The following is a 21,824-nucleotide window of genomic DNA, read 5'->3' as shown; positions in this document are numbered from 1 at the left end:
AGAATGGAGCAAGCGCTGACTTTTGGCGTATTCCAAAGGACTCCTCCTCTAGAGTGGCTTTTTTTTTTTTTTTTTTTTTGAGAATGGGTCTCTGTCACCCAGTCTGGAGTACAGTGACACGATCAAGGCTGTCTGTAGCCTCGAACTCCTGAGCTCAGGTGATCCTCCTACCTCAGCCTCTCAAGTAGGTGGAACTACAAGTGCATGCCACCATGCCCAGCTAATTGTTTTGTGTAATTTTTGTAGAGACAGGGTTTCACCATGTTGCTCAGGCTGGTCTTGAACTGAGCTCAAGGGATCTGCCCGCCTTGGCCTCCCAAAGTGTTGGGATTATAGGCGTGAGCCACCACGCCTGGTCTTTCTTGAGTTCTAACTCCTGTTTAACCAACACTGATATCTGGTCAGAGGCCCAATTAATTAGAAACCCCCTGACATGGCCGGGTGCGGTGGCTCACGCCTGTAATCTCAGCACTTTGGGAGGCTGAGGCAGGCAGATCACGAGGTCAGGAGATCTAGGCCATCCTGGCTAACTGGGTGAAACCCCATCTCTACTAAAAATACAAAAAATCAGTAGGGCGTGGTGGTGGGCGCCTGTAGTCCCAGGTACTCGAGAGGCTGAGGCAGGAGAATGGCGTGAACCCGGGAGGCGGAGCTTGTAGTGAGCAGAGGTCATGCCAGTGAACTCCAGCCTGGGCGACAGAGCGAGACTTCGTCTCAAAAAAAAAAAAAAAAAAAGAAACCCACTGACATTAAACTTATACAGAAAAGAGGAAAATTATAAGAAAACCAGTTTAACAGGGATATTTATTTATTTATTTATTTATTTTTGAGACAGGGTCTCACTCTGCCACCCAGGCTGGAGTGCAGTGATGACATCTGAGCTCACTGCAGCCTCTGTCTCTCGCGTTCAAGTGATTCTCCTGCCTCAGCCTCCTGGGTAGCTGGGACTACAGGTGTGCACCACCATGCCTGGATAATTTGTGTATTTTTAGTAGAGATGGGGTTTCACTGTGTTAGCCAGGATGGTCTCGAGCTCCTGACCTCGTGATCTGCCTGCCTCGGCCTCCCAAAGTGCTGGGATTACAGGCATGAGCCACTTCGCCTAGCCCATTTATTTATTTTTGAGACAGGGTCTTGCTCTGTCTTCCAGGCTGGAGTGCTGTGGTGTGATCTCAGCTCACTGCAGCTTTGATCTACCGGGCTCAAGTGATCCTCTCACCTTAGCCTCCCAAGTAGCTGGGGCCACAGGCATGCCCACCACGCCCAGCTAATTTTCTATTTTTTGTAGAGATGAGGTTTCACTATGTTGCCCAGGCTGGTCTCAAACTCCTGGCCTTAAGAGATCCTCTGCCTTGTCCTCCCAAAGTGCTGGGATTAATGCATGATCCACCATGCTTTGCAATAAGAATATTTAAATAAATGTGAAAATATCCAGGTGGTATCCATTCCTCTCATTCTCTGACATCTAGTCTCTAGTCATGGATCATCACTGAACTCAAAAAAGAGAAGGCACTGGAAACCCTGGAGTCAGAAAAAAGCAAAACAAAAACAAATTTCTGTTCTCTCCAAGCTGCACTCATTAAGACAGAAATGAGGATTCATATTTTAGAAAGTTTTCTAACAAGGTTGAGCCTTGATTAACTGGAGAACTCCATGAGTCAGAACAAACTTGTTGGGACCTAGCATGAGCTTTACCTGTAGTTGGAGCTCAGTGAATTCCCCTAAGATTACGGTTGAGATTGCACCACAGAAAGATCTCAGCCACTCACAGGTGTTCATCCTCCCGGGGTCCTGTCTGCCCCAGCATTTCTTTTCTGCTTTTCTTCCCCTTTCTTGCATGAAGAGACATCTAGGCTGTCAGGAAATGTGATGACTCATCTGACATCAGATCGAATCTTTTTTATTCGCCCTTCATGTCTGCCTCAGTCTCTGATCCTGGTAATAACCGTGTGAAGTCCCGGGGATGTTTTGATTTCTGAGAAGACACACACGGATTGCAGTGGGCTTCTGATGATGTCAAGGTTGGATGCATGTGGCTGACTGATAGCTCTTTGTTTTCCACAATCCTTTGCCTAGGAAAAAGGAATCCAAGTGTGTTTTAACCATGCTGACCAGCAAGGGGCAGGGATTCCTTCATGGGGGCTTGTGTCTCTGGCTGTGTGTGTTCACACCTTTCTTTAAAGGTAGGTTTCATTTCTGCTTTATCTTCTATTCCCTTTTTAGCTACATGTGTTTACTCTCTTTTCTAGTTGTGCTTGAGAAGATATATTAATAAAAGTTTCTATGGTCTGCATAGGAGCCACCACTGTTACAACTGCTAATTAATCTATTTGGTTTTTATTTGTTAGGTGTAATACAAAAGATGAAATCTGAGGGGTAGGGTGGGGAGGAGAGGACCAGGAAACATAGTGCAAACCCAATTAAAATATAATAAGGAGAATGATACAGTTTTCTATTCATCTCCCCTGTGGCTGTATTGAGCTTATTTATTTGTAGTTATGTTTAATATTTTTTCAAAGTGGTAATTTATTTGTTAGCTGATACTATTACTCAGTCAATGAACCCTTCCATTTTGTAGGTAATCATGTTTGTTTGGGGAAACATCACGTGATTATGCTGAAACTATCCCATGAGTAAGATCATTCATTTTAAAAGTTACAACTTAGAAACGGACCACTGCTGTTCTGCTGAACAAAATCACATTTCTATGCTGTTAGGTTTGCAGGGGACTTGCTTTTCAAGGCTGATGGAGGGTTTATCTGCTATAAAATGTCTTAAAGAGGAAGAAAATGGGTAATGAGGAGGATTATTTATTGTCTGTCATGGAGAAATATGTTCATCATGATTAATTATGATGGCAAGAATGATGTTTTACCTTAAATTTGTCCTTCCTGCTAAAACTCTAGTGTCTCAGTGTTTCCTAAGGTATTCGTCAGGCAACTCTTTCCATTTAGTAATTTAACAGAGATCTTTCCATTTATGTTGCCTGATGAGCTTTTCAATCCCTTTCCATTTTTTTTCTTTCAATGTGTAAATCCCTTTGAGAAATTTGTGGAGTCCTATGTTAGATATCAAATTTAAATTCTGTGAGGAAATTGTAGAGGAGGTAGTAATGAAATGAATTATGTCAAATGAGGAAAAGTAACCCCACATTTAAGGTTTTCTTGGAAAAATACAAAGAGATATGCATAAAGTTATTGTCTAGAATTTAGTGACTGAAAGTGCTATTATTTAAGAACCAATTTCAACTTTTAAAAATGTTTCAAGTGGCAGGGCGCGGTGGCTCATGCCTGTAATCCCAGCACTTTGGGAGGCAGAGGCAGGCGGATCACAAGGTCAGGAGATGGAGACCATCCTGGCTAACACGGTGAAACCCCGTCTCTACTAAAAATATAAAAAATTAGCTGGGCGTGGTGGCAGTCACCTGTAGTCCCAGCTACTAGGGAGGCTGAGGCAGGAGAATGGCATGAACCTGGGAGGCGGAGCTTGCAGTGAGCCGAGATCATGCCACTGCATGACCATGCCTGGGCAACAGAGCGAGACTCCATCTCAACAACAAAAAGGAAGTTTCAAATAAATTTGCCTTAAAAATCTTGCATTCTCAGAAATCTCCACAATAACTGAATTTCAAAGTTGATTTTTGTTTTATTTTAAGTCTGGGGTACATGGGCAGGATGTGCAGCTTTGTTACATAGGTAAACGTGTGCCATGGTGTGCACAGATCAACCCATCACCTAGGTATTAAGCCCAGCATGCATCAGGTATTTTTCCCAATGCTCTTCTTCCCTGGACCCCCTCAAGAGGCTCTAGTGTGTGGTGTTCCCCTCCCTGTGTCCATGTGTCCTCATTGTTCAGCTCCCCGTTTCAAGTGAGAACATGCAGTGTTTGGTTTTTTGTTCCTGTGTTAGTTTGCTGAGGATAACGGCTTCAAGCACCATCCATGTCCCTGCAAAGGGCACGATCTTGTTCATTTTTATGGTTGCATAGTATTGCATGGTGCATATATACCACATTTTCTTTCTTTCTTTCTTTCTTTCTTTTTTGAGACGGAGTCTCACTCTGTCGCCCAGGCTGGAGTGCAGTGGCACGATGTTGGCTCACTGCAAGCTCCGCCTCCCAGGTTCATGCCATTCTCCTGCCTAAGCCTCCCAAGTAGCTGGGACTACAGGCGCCCACCACCATGCCCGACTAAGTTTTTGTATTTTTGGTAGGGACGGGGTTTCACCGTGTTAGCCAGGATGGTCTCGATCTCCTGACCTTGTGATCCAACCGCCTCAGCCTTCCAAAGTGCTGAGATTACAGGCGTGAGCCACCGCACCTGGCTTATACCACATTTTCTTTATCCAGTCTATCATTGATGGGCATTTGGGTTGATTCCATGTCTTTGCTATTGTGAATAGTGCTGCAGTGAACATACGCATGCATGTATCTTTATAATAGAATGATTTATATTCCTTTGGGTATATACCCAGTAATGGGATTGCTGGGTAAAATGGTATTTCGGGTTCTAGGTGTTTGAGGAATCCCCACATCATCTCCCACAATGGTTGAACTAATTTACACTCTCACTAACAGTGTAAAAGCATTCCTATTTCTCCATAGTCTCTCCAGCATCTGTTATTTCTTCACTTTTTAATAACTGCCATTCTGACTGGCTTGAGATGATATCTCATTGTGGTTTTGATTTGCGTTTCTCTAATGATCAGTGTTGTTGAGCTTTTTTTCTTGTTTCTTGGCCACATAAATGTCTACTTTTGAGAAGTGTCTGTTCATGTCCTCAAAGTTGATTTTTTAAAAGAACATGACTTGCGAAGACCATCATGAAATTACTAGTTATTTCAGTTTCCTTAGTGAAGTTTCCCCAGCTAAGCACCTTGCTGGTGTAGATACAGATTTTAGTTGATTCAGTATTTTAGACAAGAAAGGACAGGATTTTCCTGAATTACTGGAAAGGGTCTAGTGCCATCAGTAAGACTGCGAGTTACTTCAGTGACATAAGTGAAGATTCCAAGCCTTGTGTCTACTCCTTTATATCTGCAGTGCCTTAGACTTTAAGAAATGCTCTGACCGACATCATTTTCTTTGATACTGCTCTAGTCCTGAAATGCAGACATTGCTGTTTTTATCTCCATTGTAAAGGTGAACAGCTGAGGCACAGAGGGTGGGGTGAGATGGGCACTGGTGGAGCACGCACAGGTGGTAACAATACCAGGATGCAGTCATGGGCTGGGACATTCGCTCCCCACAGGGCCCGGGAAGAATTGCCTAGAATCGCTGCAGTGGCCAGTGGCCGGGCTGGCTCTAACTCTCCCCTTTGTTTGGCCTCACAGGCTGTGTGGGCTGTGCAACTGAGGAGAGGCTCTTCCACAAACTGTTTTCTCATTACAACCAGTTCATCAGGCCTGTGGAAAACGTTTCCGACCCTGTCACGGTACACTTTGAAGTGGCCATCACCCAGCTGGCCAACGTGGTGAGTGCCCTCTGATCAGAGCTTTCCCCAGCATTGTTACACTTTTGCAGGTGGTAAATGAAGGAATTTTAGAAATACAGATAGATGCAAATCTACACGAGATCTGGCCCTTCAAAGCCATCCATTTGGGAGGCAGGCAGTTTTCCCACCAATGCTGTAACTGTCTGTGTGAGGCAGTGTTTTTCCTGGAAGTGCTTTGAGAACCAGTTTACGAAACAAAGAGTTGCAGGGGAGTGAAAGGGAGCTAACTTCACGGGGCACCCATTATGCACCAGACGCCTGTTTACACTGTGTGGCCAACATCTTCATCTCACTGCTGAGGAAATGGAAGCTCAGTTAAGTGACTTTCCCAGGGTCATACAACTACAAAATGGCAAAATTGAGATTTAACTCCAAAGCTCATGCCCTTTTCACTCCACAGTTTAAAAATTGCTTTAAGGCCGGGCGTGGTGGCTCACTCCTGTAATCCCAGCACTTTGGGAGGCTGAAGCAGGCGGATCCCTTGAGCTCAAGAGTTCGAGACCAGCCTGAACGACATAGCAAGATCTTGTCTCTATAAAAATGCAAAAATTAGCCAGGTGTAGTGGCACATGCCTGTAGCTCCTGCTACTAGGGAGGCTGAGGTGGGAGGATTGCTTGAGCCCAGGAGGTCAAGGCTGCAGTGAGCCGAGATTGCACCACTGCACTCCAGCCTGGGTGACAGAGGAAAAAAAAAAAGAATTGCATGAAGTCTTCTATGTTATGTGAGAATGAAAAAAATGCAATTCCATTCAGCCTTGGGAAAAAAAAGAGGTTGGGAATTTGAGGATCTTAATTTCATTCCTTGCTACCATGTTCAAGGGCAAGTAGGACTGGAGCTCTTTGTTTTGGATAATCTTTGCGCCCCCCCATTGCAGGGAGAGGAAGTGGCGAGGCCCGTACTCTTGGGTACAGCAAGGTCTGGGCTCCAGGGCTCAGACCAAATTCTAGGAAGATGCAGGCTTAGGAAGCAAGGAAGGTCTGAAGTGTCTCCAGAGAGGGGCGCTAGAGCATTCCTGAGACTACAGGACACAGAGGGGGAGCCCTGCTCAAGTCAGCCCCAGCCATGGATGGGGAAGGGATCTCCTTCCTCCCAGACTTTGCTCTGTGGGTGAGGCGGCGGTGGCCCTTCTGGGTACACCTGAGGAAAGACCCTAATGACAGGCATGAGTCAGACCCCACCACATTCTCCAGTCCATGCTTCTCAGTGGATGAAGCCAACCCTGGTCCAGTCCTCTGTCTGTGACCCAGGCTGAAAGTGTGCATGCACTGGCTGAAAAAAATAAAGCCAGATGTTTCCCCTCACCTGGATGCGCTCTCCCATCCTTTAGTGAGTATTTATTTGGTGCCTGTTCTAATCCCCTTCCCAACTCCAGTAGCTTTGTCCTGGTTCCTGGTCTCCTGCTGGGCTGGAAGTTCTTGCTGTGGACTGGGTTGTTGTGAACCAAGAGCTGAACTGAGTTTCCTCTGAAGTCTGTGAGGGCTACCTCACTGCATGGCGTCTCTCCATAACCCTGCTGGACACACCTTTGCAGGAGGTTATTCTGAAGATGGGGGTGAAAGGGCTGGTAAATGCAGATTTTGACATTTACATTTGGTTGCAAGTATCAGAGATTAAGAGAAAACCCACAGCCTTTACAAAACAAGTTTATTCCTGTCTTATGCAACAGAAATCTAAAGGTTAACAGTCCAGGAGATTAATATCAGTCAGTTTCACGGTGTTAGTGGTTGCACATGTATGTTTAGTTGCCCAGGTTATGCACCGCACAACTCCAGGGGATGTCACTCCAACGGACTGTGATTCTAAAGGCATAAACCAGATGAGGCAGCAGTGACCAAGATTCCTTCCTTCTTTCATATTTCACCACCCTTTTCACGTGGCTTCTTCCCTCAGTGTTGCTTCATGGTTCAAGATAACTGCTGTATTCCCATCCTCACATTCACATTCTTGGCAAGAAACATAAGGAAGGGAGAAAAAGAGCAAAGTGTACATCCTAGACTTCTGTGATTTCCGTAAGAGCTGCTGCTTTCCATCTCATTGACTACCTCCAGCTGCAAGGCAGACTTGGAACTGCAGGTTTTTAAAATTGAATTTTTATTTCTTGAGATCATTATAGATTGACATGCAGTTGTAAGAAATAACGGAGGGATCCCTTGTAGACTCTGCCTGTTTCTCCCACTAATCTGCCCTCCAATTCTGAAATTTTCTCATTTCAACGATGTTATACGTAACTGGAATCATAGAGCAGGTAAACTTGTGGGACTGGGTTTTTCCCTCAGCATCATCCTTTAGAGATTCCTCCGAGTCACTGAGTGTTATCAGTAGTTCATTCCTTCTTGTTGCTGAGTAGTACTCCAGGGTGCTTTGTTTTTTGTTTGTTTGTTTTGTTTTGCTTTTGAGATGGAGTCTCACTCTGTCACCCAGGCTGGGGTGCAGTGGCGTGATCTTGGCTCACTGCAACCTACGCCTCCCGGGCTCAAGCGATTCTACTCCCTCAGACTCCCAAGTAGCTGGGATTGCAGGCATGTGCCACTATGCCCGGCTAATTTTTGTATTTTTAGTAGAGACGGGGTTTCACCATGTTGGCCAGGCTGGTCTCGAACTCCTGACCTCAAGTGATCTGCCCACCTTGGCCTCTCAAAGTGGGGATTACAGGTGTGAGCCACCACACCTGGACCATGGCGCTTTGTTTAACCATTAACTTGCTAAAGGACATTTGAGCTGATTCCAGTTTTTGGTCTATTACAAATAAAGCTGTTGTGAATATTTGTGTACAGGTTTTAGTGTAAATATAAACCTCCATGTCTCTGGGATAAATGCCCAGGAGTGCAATAGCTGTGTGTTGTCAGGTGAACTTGGGGTGGCCGAGAGAAGTGGCACAGCCAGGAAGCTTTGTTGCCCCTCCCTTCTGGAAGGCCTTGGAAAAGGCCCGCTGTCTGATCCCCAGCTTGGCTCTGGAGCACCAGGGCTCTACCTGGAAGTGTGTTTGTGTCATGCAAAATGACCTTGGCCAGAAAATTTTCTGGTTTCTTTCAGTACAGGAGCAAGGCCAAGTGCCCCTCGGAGGGATCCAGTGTTTGTGCTGGCCTGGCATATCTGAAATGACAAAGATAAAGCCTTGGTGTAATGCAGCCCACTTGGTCTTTTTGATCCGAGTCTCCAAGTCTGCTGCTGCTCCAGAAATGAGTCCATTTGAAATCATAACTCAAAGCCTTTGATGCAGCTGCTGTGTCAATTAATTGATTTTTCCAAGAAGGAGGTACAGGGTGATGGCACCAGGAATGGAGTTGATGCTGTGGGTCTTTGGACTCCTCCGGCAGAGATGTCTGATAGCAGTGCCATGCCCATTGGTGGGATCTGGAATTGGATGGAGAGAGAGTATGACTTGCCAGACAGGTCCTGCTCCATAGGGTCAGCTGACATCTCTGAAGGTGTCCACATCCCCATGGGCCATGTCCATACCACCTGGAGCTTCTCCGAGCCTGCGGAAGTGAGGCTGTGGAGTTGGCTATTGCCAACTGATCTCAGCCTTCTGAACACAGTGTGCTTATTCAGAGACAAAGCAGGCTTTGAAGGGCAGTTAGGGCTTATGCCCTCACCCCCAAGGCCTTCCTGGAACCGAGACTGCAGGGCTAGTCCATTCCTGACCAACAGTGAGTGGATTTATGGACATGGCCCCTGCTGGACTCTGCAGATTGCAAGGGGACGCTCATTACCAGAAGGCATGACCGCAGGCTTGTGTAATCGTAAAGCCATGAATTGGTTGACCAATAGATAAGCACAGATAATTTCTTTGCTTCCTGGGACTACAGGAACCCATGACTGTAACTCCTTTGCTGACCTTTCAAATCCCGGGGCTTACCCTGTCTTGTCACAGGCCCATTTGAAAGAGGAAGCCCAGCAGGGTTTCTGTTTAGAGTTTTCCAGAAGGGGCAGCAGTGGGGATGGAGTAGGGGAGAAGAGAACTGCAGGGCAGCCACGTGGCCCAGGGGAAGCTGGTGTCTGAGTCTGACCACGACTCCCTCAGCCACCACCATGGAGCTCATTTACTCTGGAGGGTGCCTGGGTGTCTTGGGAAGCAAGGTTGGCTGAGGAAGACTTGTGAATCTGCTGCTGGCCACTGGGGACATAAACAGCCACCAGGCTGCTGGGCTGTAAGGCCACTCAAGGTGCCAGGTGTGTCTTTGGTAGTTCTCCCACTGAGAGGTGGTAGCTTAGGAACTCATTACATTTGGGATGTCACCTGGAATGGTCTTCCTCCACACAGCCCTGACTGTCTTCTGGTCATTTAAGTATCTGCTTAAACATTACCTCCTCAAAGAAGCCTTCTTTGCCCATCCCATCTAAAATAGATGTGTGTGTGTGACTGAGATCATGTGCACATGTGTGCTAGCGTGTGTGTGCATGACTGTGAGTGTGTGTGCATGAGTGTGTTTGAGTGTGTGTGCATGTGCACCAGTGTGTGAGCCTGTGTATGACTGTGTGAGTGTGCCTGAGTGTGAGTGGGTATGAGTGTGTGCATGAGCGTGTGCATGTGCATGAGTGAGTGCATGTGCATGAGTGAGTATGCACCAGTGTGTGTGTATGAGTGTGAGTGCACACGTACGAGTGTGTGTATGAGAGTATACGTATAAGAGTACGAATGTGTATGAGAATTCATGAGTGGGTATATGAGTTTGCATGATTGTGTGTTCACGAGTGTGTGTGCGCATGAGTGTGAGTGTGCATGAGTGTGTATGAGAGTACCGTGTATATGCATGTGTGTATGAATGTGTGTGCATGAGTGTGTGAGTGTGCATGAGTGTGCGTGTGTATGAGTGTGCGTGTGTGTGCATATGTGTGTGTGTGTCCACACATGGACCATTCCATCCCTCTTTATTTGTCCTCATAGGACTTAACGCTGTCTTATGTTATAGTATAGATGTATTAGTAATTTTATGTCTCCCCATCTAACAGCTAAGACACATGAAGGCAGGACCTTTTCCCAACTTCTTATTGCTGTATTCCCAATATTTATAGAGCACATAGTGGTTACTCAATAAATATTTGTGTAGTGAACGATCGAAGTGGTGGCTTCGCTGGGGGTGAGTAGCAGCTGCCAGCTGGAAACCCCATGGTGGCCAAGGCTGACTTTTTTTTTTTTTTTTTTTGAGATGGAGTCTTTGTCGCCTGGGCTGGAGTACAGTGGCACGATCTCCGCTCACTGCAACCTCCACCTCCCTGGTTCAAGCAATTCTCCTGCCTCAGCCTCCCAAGTAGCTGGGATTACAGGCGCCCGCCACCACACCTGACTATTTTTTTGTATTTTTTAGTAGAGACGGGGTTTCACCATATTGGCCAGGGTGGTCTCGAACTCCTAACCTCAGGTGATCCACCCGCCTCGGCCTCCCAGAATGCTGGGATTACAGGTGTGAGCCACCGCGCCCAGCTGGCTGAGGCTGGCATTTCAAGATAGGATCCCAGGGCAGGGGTCTCAGGACTCAGAGCCCAGAGAGCCCTGAGGCACAGTCGAGGATGGGAGGCGTTTAGGGAACAGGCAAAAACACTGTGCGGGGTTGGAATCCTCACCACTTTCTGCAGCATCTCCCTCCCTCCTACCTGCTGTCGCTCTTCTTTTCTTTCCTTCCTTTCATGGAACTAGAAACCTTTATGGGCTGCAGAGATCGGAAGCACTTCACAGAAGAGGTGAGGCTTAAATCAGCTATGAAAGAGTTTAAAGCCACATTGCCTCTCAAAATCCACAGGGCTGGAGCCAGATGTGAAAATGCGGCATTTCTGCTTGCATGCTGAATGCTTTCACACATTGCCTTGAAGTCTTCTTCTATTGGCATGAATAAGTCAGATTTGGTTCTTTTTAGTTGTAATTTTTGCTCTAAGTCTCACCTCTATGGCAAGCACATTTGAGGCTAAAAGTATTATTTCTTCTTCCCAGGATGAAGTAAACCAGATCATGGAAACCAATTTGTGGCTGCGTCACGTATGTGCCTATATCATGTGTTGGCTTAATGATGTTGAATGGATAAAACCCACAAGCACTACCTTGTTCCATCTCCAACTGGTTATAGAATATAAAATATTATCCACTAGGTCATCTCCAAAGCCTAAAGTTCAGCTCTGGTAATAGCTGACTTGATGCATGCTTCACAGGTGCAGACACTTAGTGACAAAGGTCCCTCTGACATAGAGGTTTCCATCCTTCCTGGTTGCTGCTCTCAGATCTTCCACTTTTCTGTAACTTGAGCTCCAGGGTCTGATGCTTGCCTGCTCTTTGATCCCTGCTTGACCAGGCTTGGAGAAGTCAGTAGCTGAGCTTGGGAGCATGTACATGAGATTCCCAGCAGCTGGTTTTATCAGTTATACCTTTCTTCCTTAAGAAAGTCTTGGAGGGGTGCAGTGGCTCATGCCTGTAATCCCAGCACTTTGAGAGCCCAAGGTGGGCGGATCACCTGAGGTCAGGAGTTCGAGACCAACTTGGCCAACATGGTGAAATGAAACCCTGTCTCTAATAAAGATACAAAATTAGCCCGGCGTGGTGGTGGGTGCCCGTAATCCCAGCTACTCGGGAGGCTGAGGCAGGAGAATCGCTTGAACCAGTAGGCAGAGGTTGCAGTGAGCTGAGATTGCACCACTACATTCCAGCATGGGCAACAGAGCGAGACTCTGTCTTGAAAACAAAACAAAACAAAAAAAAAACAGAAAGGAAGTCTTAATCGTTTATACAGATTTTTTTTTAATTCAAAGCTTATCATCATACCCTTGAACTTTTTGATATTAGAGCTATACTCCAGTGTGAGTATAGCTCACGGAATATGGAAGTTGAGCCTAAAACTTTAACCAGCTAACTAATAATCAATACATAATTATCTAATGAAATATTTGCCTAAATCAGCTCAGCTATTTAGCTCCCTGTTCCCCATGGATATAATTGTCCAGATTTTGATAGCAACCAATGCATTCTTCAAATAAGAATGTATTATTTTTACTTTTTTTTTTTGTTTTTTGGTTTTTTTTGAGACGGAGTCTCGCTCTGTCGCCCAGGCTGGAGTCCAGTGGCGCGATCTCGGCTCACTGCAAGCTCCGCCTCCCAGGTTCACACCATTCTCCTGCCTCAGTCTCCTGAGTAGCTGGGACTACAGGGGCCCGCCACCACGCCCGGCTAATTTTTTTTGTATTTTTAGTAGAGACGGGGTTTCACCGTGTTAGGCAGGATGGTCTCGATCTCCTGACATCGTGATCTGCACGCCTCGGCCTCCCAACGTGCTGGGATTACAGGCGTGAGCCATCGCGCCGGGCCACTTTTTTTTTTTTTTTTTGAGACAGAGTCCCGGTCCGTCGCCTAGGCTGGAGTGCAGTGGCACGATCTCGGCTCACTGCAAGCTCCGCCTCCTGGGTTCATGCCATTCTCCTGCCTCAGCCTCCGGAGTAGCTGGGACTACAGGCAACCACCACCATGCCTGGCTAATTTTTTTTTTTTTTTGTATTTTTAGTAAAAATGGGGTTTCACCGTGTTAGCCAGGATGGTCTCAATCTTCTGACCTAGTGATCCGCTCACCTCGGCCTCCCAAAGTGCTGGGATTACAGGCGTGAGCCACCACGCCTGGCCAAATGTATTCTTTTTTCAACAACAACTGTTGAACCATCATAAAGTTAACATTGGAAGAAAGTTATTAAGAAACACATTTTTTTTTTCCAGATAGAGTCACCCAGGCTGTAGTACAGTGACATGATCTCAGCTCACTGCAAACTCTGCCCCCCACGTTCAAGAGATTCTCCTGCCTCAGCCTCCCGAGTAGTTGGGACTACAGGCGCTGGCCACCACACCCGGCTAATTTTTGTATTTTTAGTAGAGACGGGGTTTCACTATGCTGGCCAGGCTGGTCTCGACCTCCTGACCTCAAGTGACCTGCCTGCCTCGGCCTCCCAAAGTGCTGGGATTACAGGCGTGAGCCACCATGCCTGGCCCGAAAGTTATTAAGAAATTTTAAAAGCTGATTTCTATTTATTTTAGATCTGGAATGATTATAAATTGCGCTGGGATCCAATGGAATATGATGGCATTGAGACTCTTCGCGTTCCTGCAGATAAGATTTGGAAGCCCGACATTGTTCTCTATAACAAGTATGGGTCTCTGACCACCGTAGCCTCTTTCCAAAGCTGCTGTTGGTGTATTCTGGCCTATAGCAAAGGGAGTGTTACTAATGGTGTCTGACTTGCTTTGCAGTGCTGTTGGTGACTTCCAAGTAGAAGGCAAAACAAAAGCTCTTCTTAAATACAATGGCATGATAACCTGGACTCCACCAGCTATTTTTAAGAGTTCCTGCCCTATGGATATCACCTTTTTCCCTTTTGATCATCAAAACTGTTCCCTAAAATTTGGTTCCTGGACGTATGACAAAGCTGAAATTGATCTTCTAATCATTGGATCAAAAGTGGATATGAATGATTTTTGGGAAAACAGTGAATGGGAAATCATTGATGCCTCTGGCTACAAACATGACATCAAATACAACTGTTGTGAAGAGATATACACAGATATAACCTATTCTTTCTACATTAGAAGATTGCCGATGTTTTACACGATTAATCTGATCATCCCTTGTCTCTTTATTTCATTTCTAACCGTGTTGGTCTTTTACCTTCCTTCGGACTGTGGTGAAAAAGTGACGCTTTGTATTTCAGTCCTGCTTTCTCTGACTGTGTTTTTGCTGGTCATCACAGAAACCATCCCATCCACATCTCTGGTGGTCCCACTGGTGGGTGAGTACCTGCTGTTCACCATGATCTTTGTCACACTGTCCATCGTGGTGACTGTGTTTGTGTTGAACATACACTACCGCACCCCAACCACGCACACAATGCCCAGGTGGGTGAAGACAGTTTTCCTGAAGCTGCTGCCCCAGGTCCTGCTGATGAGGTGGCCTCTGGACAAGACAAGGGGCACAGGCTCTGATGCAGTGCCCAGAGGCCTTGCCAGGAGGCCTGCCAAAGGCAAGCTTGCAAGCCATGGGGAACCCAGACATCTTAAAGAATGCTTCCATTGTCACAAATCAAATGAGCTTGCCACAAGCAAGAGAAGATTAAGTCATCAGCCATTACAGTGGGTGGTGGAAAATTCGGAGCACTCGCCTGAAGTTGAAGATGTGATTAACAGTGTTCAGTTCATAGCAGAAAACATGAAGAGCCACAATGAAACCAAGGAGGTAAATGTGTGTTCCCTCCACCCAGCCAGCTTGCACCCTTTGCAGCCTATGGGCACTCTGGATGCACAGTCAGACCTTCAGTGTGACTTTTGTTCCTGAGAGGGTCAGGCGGCCTTGCTCTGAGACCTGGCTCTGTTATTATGTGGTTATGGGTGGACTGACAGGGTCAGACCTGCCAGTGGAGCGGGGTCAGGTGCAATAGCCCCAGAGCAAATCTCCACCTCCAGAAATGTGAACTCAAGTAAAATTTGCTTAAAATGAACATTCAGGGCCGGGCGTGGTGGCTCACGCCTGTAATCCTAGCACTTTGGGAGGCCAAGGCAGGCGGATCACCTGAAGTCAGGAGTTTGAGACCAGCATGGCCAACATGGGGAAACCCCATCTCTACTAAAAATACAAAAATTAGCCAGGCATAGTGGCACAGGCCTGTAATCCCAACTACTTGGGAGGTTGAGGCAGGAGAATCGCTTGAACCCAGGAGGTGGAGGTTACAGTGAGCTGACATGGCGCCCCTGCACTCCAGCCTGGGTGACAGAGAGAGACTCCATCTCAAAAATAAAAACAAACAAACAAACATTCAGGGCAACCTCAGTTAATGAAACTAAGAGCCTCAGCCTGGGCAACATAGTGAGACCCTGAACTACCAAAAAAAAAAAAAAAATTAGCAGGCGTGTTGGTGCATACCTGTAGTCCCAGCCACTCAAGGGGCTGAGGTGGGAGGATTGCTTGAGCCCAGGAGGTTGAGGCTACAGCCTGGGAGATAGACGACAGATCAGGGCCCTGTCTCAGGAAAAAAAAAAAAAAGCCCCTGCACAAGAAACAGCAGCAAATAAAAAGGTAGAAAGAGAAAAGCTGCCCCAGAGGGAAGGAGAAATGAGTTCGGAGCAGCGTGCAGCCTGGGGGTGCTGGGAGATGTGGGAGAGGGCGAGAGTGCATTCGTTCCGGCAGCTCTGGCCCCACTTGTCCTACTTGAGGGATTTAGGTGCTGGTGAAATGAGCCCCAGGGATATTTTTAGCGTTCACGTACTCTGTTCCTGCTGTCCAGAGTCTAACTATAGCAGCATGTACCTCCCTCAGCTTCCAAAGACAGAGCTCAAGAGAATCATGCCAATTTCCCACACCATGTGGGTGACTAGCGGAAGGCATCTGAAACTCAGGCCTGGTGTCTAGGTTTGACCTCGGACTGCAGCTGCTGGCAGCCATCGCTCCTAGTGAAAGGATACTGTGAAACCGAAAGTCCGCCCTGTTGGTGTAGAAGGAAGATGCTGTGAATGGCTGTCATGCAGATGTGTCACCGGACAAGAGAGCCCAGAAAAATTCACCTTCATAAAATTTAAAAGAAGACCCTCTCTCTACAAAAAAAACAAAAATTAGTAGGGCATGGTGGCACATGGCTGTAATTGCAGCACTTTCGGAGGCCAAGACGGGAGAATTGTTTAAGTAAGGCCAGGAGTTTGAGACCAGCCTGGGCAACATATTGAGACCTTATTTCTAAAAAACAAATTTAAAAAAATTTGCCAAGCCTGTTGTCCCAGCTATGTGGGAGGCTAAGGCGGGAGGATTGCTTGAGCTCAGGAGTTCCAAGTTCCAGTGAGCCACAATCGCACCACTGCACTTCAGCCTGGGCAACACAGCAAAATCCTGTCCCTAACATTTTTTTTTTAATCGAAGAAACAGCTGCTGTTGACTTAATCACTACCAGTTAGGGCTCTCAAGACACAAGTACAGATACAGTGGCAGAAGGCTGGAGGGTCAGGAACTGGGAGAAACACAACCAGCTCTCCATGGCCAGCATCCCTTTGAGGGCTGGAGGGCTGCCTATTCCTGATAAAGTGGTTCTCAATCATACCCCTCCATGTCCTCCGCCCCCAGTGGCACCCCCTGCCTCAAACTCATTCCCCAGACTTGCCATGGAGCCAGACTACCCACCGTTGCAAAGAATGAGTCTAGCTCTCTGAGCAGTTGCTTCTCTGGAGCGTTTCTTGCAGTTGGGAAAGTCCCTGGTGACCCACGGAGTCAGGGCTTTGCCGCAGACTCTGCTGTCTGAGGCACTCACAGAGGCTGTGCATCTGCCCTCTGCAAACGAAACAAAATTTCTTATGTGTCCTGTACAGGAGACCTGGATTCACCAAATACCAATATTTGCTTTATTTTCATTTTTATTTATTTTTCGAAATGGAGTCTTACTCTGTCACCCAGGCTGGAGTGCAGTGGTGTGATCGTGGCTCACTGCAACCTCCACCTCCCAGGTTTAAGCGATTCTCTTGCCTCAGACTCCTGAGTAGCTAGGACTACAGGCACATGCCACCATTCCTGGCTATCTTTTGTATTTTTAGTAGAGACAGGGTTTCACCATGTTGCCCAGGCTGGTCTTGAACTCCAGACCTCAGATGATCCTCCCACCCAGCTGATATTTGCTTTAAAACGTGCCGGAGAAATCTTCTTCAAAAAAGAAGCAGCTTATTGATGAAACAAGGCATGTTTCTTATGGTTTTGGTTTTTTAAAACAGCTCTTAATTTTTGTTTGCATTTCAGGTAGAAGATGACTGGAAATACGTGGCCATGGTGGTGGACAGAGTATTTCTTTGGGTATTTATAATTGTCTGTGTATTTGGAACTGCAGGGCTATTTCTACAGCCACTACTTGGGAACACAGGAAAATCTTAAAATGTATTTTCTTTTATGTTCAGAAATTTACAGACACCATATTTGTTCTGCATTCCCTGCCACAAGGAAAGGAAAGCAAAGGCTTCCCACCCAAGTCCCCCATCTGCTAAAACTGATGGCTACATGGAAAAAGAGGACTTTCTTGCACATTAGGAAGCAGAATATCCTCCAGTGTAGCACAGGGGGAGAAGTGAGAAGTGTTATGACATTAGTGCCCTGATTGGGCAGCACCCACGGCTACAGTATCAGGTCAGGTTTCTCGTGTCTGTGTGTTTGGCTTCTAAAGACAAGAATGACTTACAATACAGCCTAATTATGTAATTAACATCAAGCCACACTAAAAAGTTCTGCTGTACCTCCAGTGGATGCTGTTTCTCAGTATTATGACATGTGACAGGTGAACTCTGGGAATTGGACCATGCAACATTTGTGAACTGTTTGCAACACTTTGTGAACTATTGCATCCTTGATTTCTTGTGCATGTCTCTGTAATGTAACTCACCCTCCTCAGCATTATTTGATACACTGATTGTTAGTTTTAAAAAAAAAAAAAAAAAAACAGTTTGGTCAGGTGTGGTGGCCTGTAATCCCAGCACTTTGGAGGCTGAGGAAGAAGGATTGCTTGAGCCCTGGAATTCAAGACCAGCCTGGGCAACATAGGGAGACCCTGTGTTACAAAAATAAAAACATTAGCCACTGTAGTGTTTTGCACCTGTGGTCCTAGCTACTTGGGAGGCTGACATGGGGAGGATTGCTTGAGCTTGGGAGGCTGAGGCTACAGTGAGCCATGATCACACCACTGCACTCCAGCCTGGGTGACAGAGTGAGACCCTGTCTCAAAAATAAATAAATAAATAAAAACTACCAGATAGGGTCTTTCTCAACAGGCTGTATTTGCTTAGCATTCATCTGGCAAGAAGCTTAAGTGGAAACTCAGCACTGTGCTAGGCATTGCAAGGGTGACAAGCAATGGGTTCTTTCCCACAAGTGCTTGTAGCTTCTTAGGAAAAGTCGTAGCTATGAAGACTGCAGGCCAGATGTCATCTGGGGAATGTCACTAGAGCAACCAGAATAGGAGAACATGACGTGACGTGTCCAGGCAAGCCTAAAGCAACCCCTTTGTTGTGGGTTGGAAAAAGTTGTCTTTCTAGTCTTTTTAATTTATTTTTATTTTTATTTTTGAGACAGAGTCTTGCTGTGACGCCCAGGCTGGCATGTGATGGCGCATTCTCGGCTCACTGCAACCTCTGATTCCCCCGGTTCAAGTGATTCTCCTGCCTCAGCCTCCCAAGTAGCTGGGACTACAGGTGTGTGCCACCACGCCCGGCTAATTTTTGTATTTTTAGTAGAGACGGGGTTTCACCATGTTGGCCAGGCTGGTCTCGAACTCCTGACCTCAAGTGATCCACCTGCCTCAGCCTCCCAAAGTACCAGGATTACAGGCGTGAGCCACCGTGCCCGGCAGTCTAGTCTTTTTTCATCAACAGTTTTCATTTCTTCATTGTACTGATACTGAAAATAAAGTTATTTCTTTTCTTTTCTTTTTTCTTTTTTTTTTCTTTTTGAGACAGAGTATCATTCTTGTTGCCCAGGCTGGAGTGCAATGGTGCGATCTCGGCTCACTGCAACCTCCGCCTCGGGGGTTCAAGCGATTCTCCTGCCTCAGCCTCCCAAGTAGCTGGGATTACAGGCATGTGCCATCATGCCCAGCTAATTTTGTATTTTTAATAGAGATGGGGTTTCTCCATGTTGATCAGGCTGGTCTCGAACTTCTGACCCCAGGTGATCTGCCTGCCTCGGCCTCCCAAAATGCTGGGATTACAGGCGTGAGCCACAGTGCCCGGCCTCAGTTATTTCTTTTTTTTAAATTTCATTTAGGTTTTTAGTTTTAAGTTGGGTCCAATGCCACGTGCATATTTCTTATATAAGGAATTATAATCTTGGAGCTTTTGGAGCAATTCCTTTTCTGAGAGGGAGAAGCTTGGGAATTCTGTTTTATCGTACTCTGATTATCTTCTTATTTGTCGTATAAATATTATAACAATTTTAAACATGTATTTTAAGGCAGAAAACAATAAATCAAATCTAACAAAGGAAATAATTTCATGTGTGCCTTTTCCCTTCTAGTCTTTGTCCGTATGTAAACACTTCAATTTTACCTTGCAATGCTGTTTCCTTAAAACATAATATTAGCAACATTCTCTTTTACAGAGTCTTGAAGTATAATTTTTGTGATGGTATAATTACCATTGTGTTGGTTCTCGTAATTTTTATAATTACCATGTGAATTCTTCTTTGTCTTTTTTCTGCTGGAGCATGAGGTTCTCTGTGGGACATTAGGCAGAGGTCTTGAATTTGAATGATTGTATTTTATTTTTTATTCTTTCTTTATTTTTTTGAGACAGACTCTCCCTGTCGCCTGGGCTGCAGTGCAGTGGCATGATGCCGGCTCACTGCAACCTCTGCCTCTCGGGTTCAAGCGATTTTCCTGCCTCGGGCTCCCAAGTAGCTGGGATTACAGGGGCCCGCCACCATGCCTGGCTAATTTTTGTACTTTTAGTAGAGACGGGGTTTTGCCATGTTGGCCAGGCTGGTCACGAACTCCTGACCTCAAGTGATCCACCTGCCTCAACCTCCCAAAGTGCTGGGATTACAGGCATGAGCCACCGCACCCAGCCTGAATGACTCTATTTTAGAGCATTTTTATTCCCTATAATATTGGTGATTGTAGTACCTACCTTTTATCTTCCTGTCTTTATAGAGGGTTGGTTGTTACGCAATACTTTATTTTTTATTATTAAGCCCAATCAATGTTTAATTTCATTTAAAATTTGTTTAACTGTGGTAAAATCACATAACGTAAAATTTCCCATCTTAACCATTTTTAAGCATCCAGTTCAATGACATTAAATCCCTCCTTTTTTTTTTTTTGAGACGGAGTCTTGCTCTGTCGCCAGGCTGGAGTGCAGTGGCACAATCTCCACTCACTGCAACCTCTGCCTCTGGATTGAAGCTATTCCCCTGCCTCAGCCTCCCAAGTAGCTGGGACTACAAGCACACACCACCATGCCAGGCTAATTTTTTGTATTTTAGTAGAGACAGGGTTTCACCATGTTGGCCAGAATGGTCTCGATCTCCTGACCTCGTGATCTGCCCGCCTCGGCCTCCCAAAGTGCTGGGGTTACAGGCGTGAGCCACCGTGCCCAGCCCATAATGCCTTCATGTTGTTGTACAACCTTCAGCACCATCCATCTCCAGAACTCTTTGTCCTGCAACACTGAAACCCTGTACCCAGTAAGCAGTTACTGCTCCTTCTCCCCTACCTCACAGGCAACCCCCCATTCTACTTTCTGTCTCTATGAATTTGACCACTCTGGGTACCTCATATAAGGGGGATCATATTGTGTTTGTCCTTTTGTGACTGGCTTATTTCACATAATGTAACAGCTTCAAGGTGCATCTGTATCGTAGCATGTGTCAACATTTCTTTCATTTTCAAGGCTGAATAATATTCCGTTGTCTGTATTTACTGCCCTTTATGTATCCATTCACCTGTCAATGGACACTTGGGTTGCTTCTACCTTTTGCCTGCTGCCATGAACTTGGGCTTACAAATAATTCTGAGTCCCTGCTTTCAGTTATTTTGGGTATATACTTAGAAGTGAAATTGCTGGATCAGACAGTTATTCTATTTTTTAATATTTAATTTTTGTGGGTACATAGGACTTGTATATATTGATGGGTTATGTGAGATATTTTGATATAGGCATGCAGTGTGTAATAATCACATTGGTGATTATTATAAATGGGGTGTCTGTTACCTCAAGTATTTGTCCTTTGTGTTACAATCTAATTATATTTTTAGTTATTTTTAAATGTACAATTATTTTTTACTAGTCACCCTGTTGTGTTAGCAAATACTAGATCTTATTCATTCTTTCTATTTTTTTGTACCCATGGTTATTCTATTTTTAATTTTCTGAGGAATCATTATACTGTTTTCCACAGTGCTGTACCATTTTACGTATTCCCACCAGCAGCGCACAAAGGTTTTGATTTCTCGGCATGCTCACCAACACTTGTTATTTTCTGGGGTTTTTGGCAGTTGCCATCCTAATGGGTGAGAGGTGGTGTCTTGTGGTGGTTTTGGTTTGTGTTTCCCTAATGATTAGCAATGTTGAGCATCTTTTCATGTGCTTACCGGCCATTTGTATATCTTCTTTGGAGAAATGTCTATTTAAGTCCTTCACCCATTTTAAAAATCAGGTTATTTGTGGCCTAGCGTGGTGGCACACGCCTGTAATCCCAGCACTTTGGGAGGCCGAGGCAGGCAGATCACGACGTCAAGAGATCGAGACCATCCTGGCCAACATGGTGAAACCCCGTCTCTACTAAAAATACAAAAATTAGCTGGGCGTGGTGGTGTGCACCCGTAGTCCCAGCTACTTGGGAGGTTGAGGCAGGAGAA

The 21,824-nt window shown here is 45.8% G+C and overlaps 1 protein-coding gene across 3 annotated transcripts, besides 1 other annotated feature; it reads left to right on the top strand.

Annotated features, from left to right (window-relative positions):
- Positions 1–1,748: 1,748 nt before the first annotated feature.
- CHRNA6 (cholinergic receptor nicotinic alpha 6 subunit) lies at positions 1,749–17,915 on the top strand. 3 transcript variants are annotated; one of them, XM_047422396.1, is made up of 7 exons: positions 1,749–1,938; positions 2,077–2,183; positions 5,331–5,470; positions 11,422–11,466; positions 13,498–13,607; positions 13,711–14,689; positions 17,225–17,915. In XM_047422396.1, exons 2-7 carry the CDS (start codon positions 2,105–2,107, stop codon positions 17,354–17,356), a joined length of 1,485 nt encoding a protein of 494 aa, XP_047278352.1. In that variant the 5' UTR covers positions 1,749–1,938; positions 2,077–2,104; the 3' UTR covers positions 17,357–17,915. The 3 variants fall into 3 exon arrangements, with proteins under 3 accessions (XP_047278352.1, NP_004189.1, NP_001186208.1); NM_004198.3 differs by having other exon boundaries at positions 1,749–2,183; NM_001199279.1 differs by lacking the exon at positions 11,422–11,466 and having other exon boundaries at positions 1,749–2,183.
- Positions 1,857–1,926: an enhancer, noted in NCBI's record as "active region_27315". NCBI's record gives its function as "activates an Ori minimal core promoter by ATAC-STARR-seq in GM12878 lymphoblastoid cells {active_cell/tissue: GM12878}" and the evidence as "EXISTENCE:reporter gene assay evidence [ECO:0000049][PMID:35858748]".
- Positions 17,916–21,824: the final 3,909 nt, after the last annotated feature.

This window comes from Homo sapiens, chromosome 8, assembly GCF_000001405.40.
Source record: "Homo sapiens chromosome 8, GRCh38.p14 Primary Assembly".
Lineage (NCBI taxonomy): Eukaryota > Metazoa > Chordata > Mammalia > Primates > Hominidae > Homo > Homo sapiens.
This window is presented reverse-complemented; position numbering and strand designations above follow the sequence as displayed.

Bases quoted from the DNA above. Each gene is read 5' to 3' on its own strand.
- CHRNA6 (XM_047422396.1), top strand. From the start codon at position 2,105: ATGCTGACCAGCAAGGGGCAGGGATTCCTTCATGGGGGCTTGTGTCTC. The intron at 5,471-11,421 runs GTGAGTGCCCTC...TCTTCTTCCCAG, and splicing joins TCACCCAGCTGGCCAACGTG to GATGAAGTAAACCAGATCAT. The intron at 14,690-17,224 runs GTAAATGTGTGT...TTTGCATTTCAG, and splicing joins GCCACAATGAAACCAAGGAG to GTAGAAGATGACTGGAAATA.